Genomic DNA, 6,268 nt, shown 5'->3' on the forward strand with positions numbered 1-6,268 from the left:
CAACATGAAGTTTATTTTGATTCCTTTATTTCCTGCAGATGAACCTAAATCACAGATGAACTAGTACCTCTTTTTTTAATTCATCAGGAACTAAAGATTTCTGATGTATAAATTGCTGAAACAGGCTAATCAATCATGAAGGACAGCAGAGAGTTTCCATTTAGGTTCCCTCTACTTCCGACGTTTCTTTGTATCCATCCTTGCTGAGATAACTCCCTCACTCTAGAACTTCAGCTTTCTATTTCTGACTGTCTAGGACACAGATCCCTGAGTCTCAGTGACTCCATTCAACTTTTTCCCCAGTGCTGCCCCCTGCTGGGATTTTTTGTTTTTTGTTTTCCACTCACAGAAAGCACATGCCTGAAACAGAGGTTTCTCTGTTCCCTTTATAATACACCTATAGACCCGGCACAGCTGCTTATGCCTGTAATCCCAGAATCTTGGGAGGCCAAGCAGGGGGCTCCCTTAAGCGTAAGAGTTTGAGACCAGCCTGGACAACATAGGGAAACCCTGTTTCAAATTTTTAAATAAAAGCTGTAAAATTGTAAAATAAGGAAAAAGAAAAATAAAAGACATCTATGTCCCAGATTTTAGTTTCCAAGTGCCTGGAGAAAAAGCTTTTTATACCTCCACCCCACTAGGCAGGCCTTCCCCACAAGCAAAAATTGGACTCCAGTTGCTCAGTGGGCGACGTGCCACAGCAAGGGCAGGACACCGGACCAAAGAAGATCCTTTTGGGCTCCCTTACTTCCCTCAGTATACGCATCAGCTCAGCCTGAAGTGGGGTGAGGAGCTCCAAAATGACACGACCCCTGTTGTCAAGACTCTCCCGAGGGGCAGGATATGTTTCCAGGCTCAAATTGCTCAGCCTGCCTGTGTGGCGCAGCAGGTCCTTCAGAGCATCCATGGACGTGTCATTGCCGTGAAAACAGAAAGTGGTGAGGTTGGAGCAGCGGCTCAGGGCAGGCAGGATGACCCTGAGTTTGGAGTACCCAATCCCACAGTCCACTAAGAAGAGGGTCTGAAGAGTGGCAGCAACTTTCTCTAGCAGAGCTCGGAGGGGCTCAAGACGGATGAAGCGCAGTGCACCATGACTCAGATTCAGCTGCTTCAGTTGACTGAGACTTGGGTACCGGGGCAGGCATTTCAAGTCCTCTTCTTCTAGGAAGCCATAAGTTAATGCCAATGTCTCCAACGGGCTCCTGAGGCACCTGGGGAGAGCAAGAAGTTAGTACTGGGCAATGGCACCAGTTAGAGGACGGTGGTAGAAAATAACGTCAAGGGAAGAGCCTGTTTTGCCCAAACACAAGTTTGTTCTCATCATCTAATCATGGTCCTCCCGCAAGGTGCTGCCTGATGAGGACTTGGATCATTCAGAGGCAGTCCCATTTTAGGCTCAGTCCTTTCACCATCACTGGTGTGATTGGTTCAAGGCCATAAAATCTCTAAAGCCTCTTTTCTTCATCTTCCAGCAGAAAGCTTCATCTCTGGGCCACAGGAGCCCAGTGGAAGAGATGCCCAAAGAACTGACCTGAGCAAGGTCTAGGGACATCAGCTAGGGCTACCTGCTTTCAGAGGCTCCCTGACATGGCCACATCTGCAAACCACCTGTCACTTTGTACCACTCTCGTGCCTATTCCCTCACCTCCATCCCAGAAGCACGCATTTCCCATGTCACTTACCTTTCCTGGAGTTCAAAACAACCTTTTACAGACAGGGAATCAGAGAGAGGATCATTCATGTTCACTAAGCTGTGAGGACAGAGCTTCCTCTGTGAAACACACAGGTTTGGTGCACTTTCTCTTCTTTTACACCCTCCCCTCTGTTGCCTCTTTTTTATCATATTAACTTTAAACACACTTCCTAACAAGGAATTCCTAAAAGGAATTCACCCTCACTAGAGCTGAACCCTCCACTAACCAGCTCCCTACACGATGTCCCTCTCTGTAGCTTCTACCCCAGGTCATCCCTCTGCCCTTACTGGAGCGATCCTGTGATACCCACTTCAGGATATAGAGCACCAAACAGGACAATGCATTCTAGTGTCCCCTTCCCTAGACATCTCCAGTGGCTGGCACACAGTAGATGCTGATTGGTGTTTATTGTAACAAAAAAAGGCTGTGCTATGGCCCCCAGAGAAAGCTCACCATCCTTCCTCACCTGATCAGCTGGTCCAGGTGGCCTCTGAAGAAGCAGACCCTTCTTACATAAAGCATCTGGAGGTTCTCCAGCCTGAGGAGCACAGAGCTGAATTCAGCAACTAACTGTTCTTGGCTGTCAGAGCTTAGCAGGTAACGACAGCCATCAGAGATGAAGAGTTTGCGAAGATTCCTCATCTGGCTCAGGTAACGGCTAAACTCTACTATCATACACAGCCAGCACATGTTCCAAATTTCCAACACTTGGATACTGTCTGGGTATACTGTTTCCAATATGTTTCTGAAATTTAGAATGCTCATTGAATAATTCACCACCTTAGTACAGCACAGGTGTACTGAACCTCTTCTGTGCTGCACCCACCCAGAGAAGAAGCTCAGATCTTCATCCATGAATTTTTCCTTGAGGCAAACATCCATGAACACCTTCAAGGGCTGCTTCTCTCCTGTCCTTGGACAGTCCTCCACTGTCTGTCTCTTACTCATGGCCTCTGGGGAGCAGGACAGGAGCCTGGCTCCAGACCATATGGTCCAAAAATTCTCATCAACATCCCGCATTTCCAGCACTTGAAGTTTCCACCTCCTGTGAGTAACATAGGGGAAAAGCTCAGAACGTAGACAAGGACCCACCCCTGACCTGGGCTTTCACTCCACATCAAGGACTTCAGCTGCTTTTTTCCTCAGCGCCCCTCCTTCTGTCTCTTCTCCATCCCTTTCCCCCTTGGATTCTGCCTGGTACCCACTTCTAGTGCCTTTACCTTCCACTGGGAGCAGGCAGGTTCCTGTTTCCTCAGTGGACCCTGTATGGTGAGCAGTCCTTTCCCAGAGGAGCTGGGCAATAGCCAAGAACGTTCCCAGCTTTCTCACTGGCACCATCAGAAGCCCCTGGGCCACCCCGGGTTCCCAATTTGTCTGACCCAGCTGTTTAGTCCCTGGACACCTGGGCCCTCCCCACCTGGGTCACCTCACCTGGGGCGAACCTTTTGGGCAAGCAGGCAATCAATCCCATCCACTACATAATGTAAGATCTCCAGATCAGGCGTCTTCATCAGGGACCCCAGAGGGAGGCAGGGGAAGGGCCAGGCCTGCACCATCACCTTCAGAACCTCGCAGCGTCTGCTAGTGAAGGCCTCCACGAACAGTGGGGGGAAGAGCTCCCTGGGCAGCTCATCCAGGACGGAGATGGCCAAGGCCTGGTCCCTCAGCAGGCTCTGCCCTGCCAGCTCCAGGAGTCTGCGTGGGGCCTGGAAGCTCATCCTGATAAATCTGCAAGAAAACAAATCCAGAGAAGACAAACTTATCAGGCCAGTCCTCTCACACCCTGACTTCTCCTGGGCCAAAAGTCACTACTCTGGCAGGTGTGAAAGTCCTTAGTTTACCCCAATTCGACTCTGCAATAATTGGCCACAGAGACATAGTTCTGCCCTTCTGGTACCAAGAAGAGTGTCTCCCAACCTCCAAGGAACGGGCAAGATCACTCCTACTCCATGAATTTTCATTAATTTCTCCACCCAACTCTATTAGCTCTGGGAAGTGTTACCAAGAATCTTCAAAGCTCAGCTCCTTTTTTGAGAAAAAAATGTCTTCTCAATTTAAGGATCTAAAGCAATGGTCATGTGGCTGGGCTTGGTGGCTCACAACTGTAGTCCCAGCACTTTGGAGGCCAAGGCGGGTGGCTCACTTGAGGTCAGGAGTTAGAGACCAGCCTGGCCAACAAGGTGAAACCCAGTCTTTACTAAAAACACAAAAAGTAACCAGGCATGGTGGCAGGTGCCTGTAACTCCAGCTACTCGGGAGGCTGAGGCACAAGAATCACTGGAACCCAGGAGGCGGAGGTTGCAGTGAGCTCAGACAGTGCCACTGCACTCCAGCCTGGGCAATAGAGCGAGACTCAGTCTCAAAAAAATAAATAAATAAAATAAAACAATAAAACAATGGTAATGGGAGTCTCCTGTGGCCCCAAACAGTCTACAGTCTCAGTTCCCACAGTGAACTTGGCTGGGAGAGACTAAAGGGATATTTTTAATTAGACACCATTATGTTCACTTTCAAAAGAGTAATGAGGGGCCACACATGGAGGCTCACAGCTGTAATTCCAACACTTTGGCAAGCCAAGGCAGAACAATCACTTAAGCCCTGGAGTTGCTGACCAGCCTGGGCTACATAGTGAGACCCTGTCTCTCCAAAAAAATACAAAAAATAGATGGATGTGATGGCGCACACCTGTAGTCCCAGCTGCTCTGCAGGCTGAGGTGGAAGGATGGCTTGTGTCTGTGAAGCAGAAGTTACAGTGATCTGAGACTCTGCCACTGTACCCCTAGCCTGGGCAGAACAGCAAGACTCTGTCTTAATAAAATAAATAAATAAATAAAATATTACCCACTTTGGAATGGAGTCTAGAGAAACAAATGGATCCCACATTCAGAACAAAGACTCCATTCTTGAAAATGGTGTATGAGACCAGTCATGTTGGCTCATGCCTGTAATCCCAAGACTTTAGGAGGCAAAGTGGGAGGTTTGCTTGAATCTAGGTGTCCCAGACCAGCCTAGGTAACAAACCAAGACCTCATCACTATAAAAAATAATAATAATAGGCCTGGCACGGTGGCTCACACCTGTAATCTCAGCACTTTGTGAGACTGAGGCGGGCAGATCGCCTGAGTTTGGGAGTTTAAGACCAGCCTGGCCAACATAGTGAAACCCTATCTCTATTAAAAATACAAAAATTAGCCAGGTGTGGTGGCACACACCCACAGTCCCAGCTACTTGGGAGGCTGAAGCAGGAGAATCACTTGAACCCGGGAAGCAGAATTTGCAGTGAGCCAAGATCATGCCTCTGCACTCGAACCTGGGCAACAGAGTGAGACTCTCTCTCAAAAAAAAAAAAAAAAGAAAAAAACAAAATCAAAAAAATTAGCCAGTTATACTAGTGCATGCCTGAATTCCAGCTATTCAGAAGGCTAGAACTTCTGAGTAGGGAGGATGGCTTGAGCCCAGAAGGCAGAGGTTGCAGTGAGTCGAGATCACAATACTGCATTCCACCAAGAATGACGCAGGAAGACAATGTCTCAAAGAAAAAAAAAAAAAGACTTCAGTCAATTGCATTATTTTTCAACTGCTTGATTTGGAACTCTGAAGCTGGGCATGGTGGCTCACACCTATAATCCCAGCACTTTGAGAGGCCTAGGTGGGCAGATCACGAGGTCAGGTGTTCGAGACCAGCCTGGCCAACATGGTGAAACCCTGTCTCTACTAAAAATACAAAAATTAGCCGGGCATGGTGGTGGGCACCTGTAATCCCAGCTACTCAGGAGGCTGAGGCAGGAGAATTGCTTGAACTTAGGAGGCAGAGGTTGCAGTGAGCCGAGACCTCATCATTGCACTCCAGCCTGGGTGACAGAGCAAGACTCCATCTCAGAAAAAAAAAAAAAAAACATTTGAAATGACATAAACTAAACACAAATAAAATATTTGGAGTGAAGAGATAAAACTGCATTAGAGAAAAAATTAAAGCCTACATCTGTTCATCTGAAAAACAGGCAAGAAAATTCTCTGTGCCACCTTGGCCTTCATGTCGCCCTCTACTGGCTGACTGTGGGTCATAGGAGTGCCCTTGTGAAGGTACCTGACTTACCAGATCTGGACTCACTTTGCAGTCTGCTCGGACCTCTTGGAGAATCAAGCAATAACTCCAGGTACCACAGCTTGGGGTTTCTTCTGTGGATGTTCACAAGCTTTCTTGGACCTTTCTGTTTTTTTGAGATGGAGTTTTGCTCTTGTTGCCCAGTTTGGAGTAAAATGGCGTGATCTCGGCTCACCGCAACCTCCACCTCCTGGATTCAAGTGATTCTCCTGTCTCAGCCTCCAAAGTAGCCGGAATTACAGGCATGCGCCACCACACCTAGCTAATTTTGTATTTTTAGCAGAGATGGTGTTTCACCATATTGGCCAGGCTGGTCTTGGGAACTCCTGACCTCATGACCCACCCTCCCCCTCAGCCTCCCAAAGTGCTGGATTACAGGCATGAGCCACGGCTCCCAGCAACTTTCTTGGACTTTCCTAATCCCACCTCCTTTATCAACTTCCAGATTCCTATCAGAAAGTGATGCCTG

The 6,268-nt window shown here is 48.1% G+C and overlaps 1 protein-coding gene across 1 annotated transcript; it reads right to left on the minus strand.

Moving 5' to 3' along the window:
* Positions 1–3,460, minus strand: PRAMEF18 (PRAME family member 18). The gene is made up of 3 exons (NM_001099850.2): positions 3,126–3,460; positions 2,161–2,739; positions 1–1,211 (listed from the first exon to the last, which is right to left on the minus strand). Exons 1-3 carry the CDS (start codon positions 3,410–3,412, stop codon positions 638–640), a joined length of 1,440 nt encoding a protein of 479 aa, NP_001093320.2. The 5' UTR covers positions 3,413–3,460; the 3' UTR covers positions 1–637.
* Positions 3,461–6,268: the final 2,808 nt, after the last annotated feature.

The sequence above is a fragment of the Homo sapiens genome, chromosome 1 (genome assembly GCF_000001405.40).
Source record: "Homo sapiens chromosome 1, GRCh38.p14 Primary Assembly".
Lineage (NCBI taxonomy): Eukaryota > Metazoa > Chordata > Mammalia > Primates > Hominidae > Homo > Homo sapiens.

What these genes read in the sequence shown, in the direction of transcription:
- PRAMEF18 (NM_001099850.2), bottom strand. Translation starts at nt 3,412, where the DNA reads ATGAGCTTCCAGGCCCCACGCAGACTCCTGGAGCTGGCAGGGCAGAGC. An exon ending in GCCCAAAAGGTTCGCCCCAG is followed by an intron (nt 2,740 to 3,125) that starts GTGAGGTGACCC and finishes TGTTACTCACAG; the next exon opens with GAGGTGGAAACTTCAAGTGC. An exon ending in CACCTGGACCAGCTGATCAG is followed by an intron (nt 1,212 to 2,160) that starts GTGAGGAAGGAT and finishes TGCTCTCCCCAG; the next exon opens with GTGCCTCAGGAGCCCGTTGG.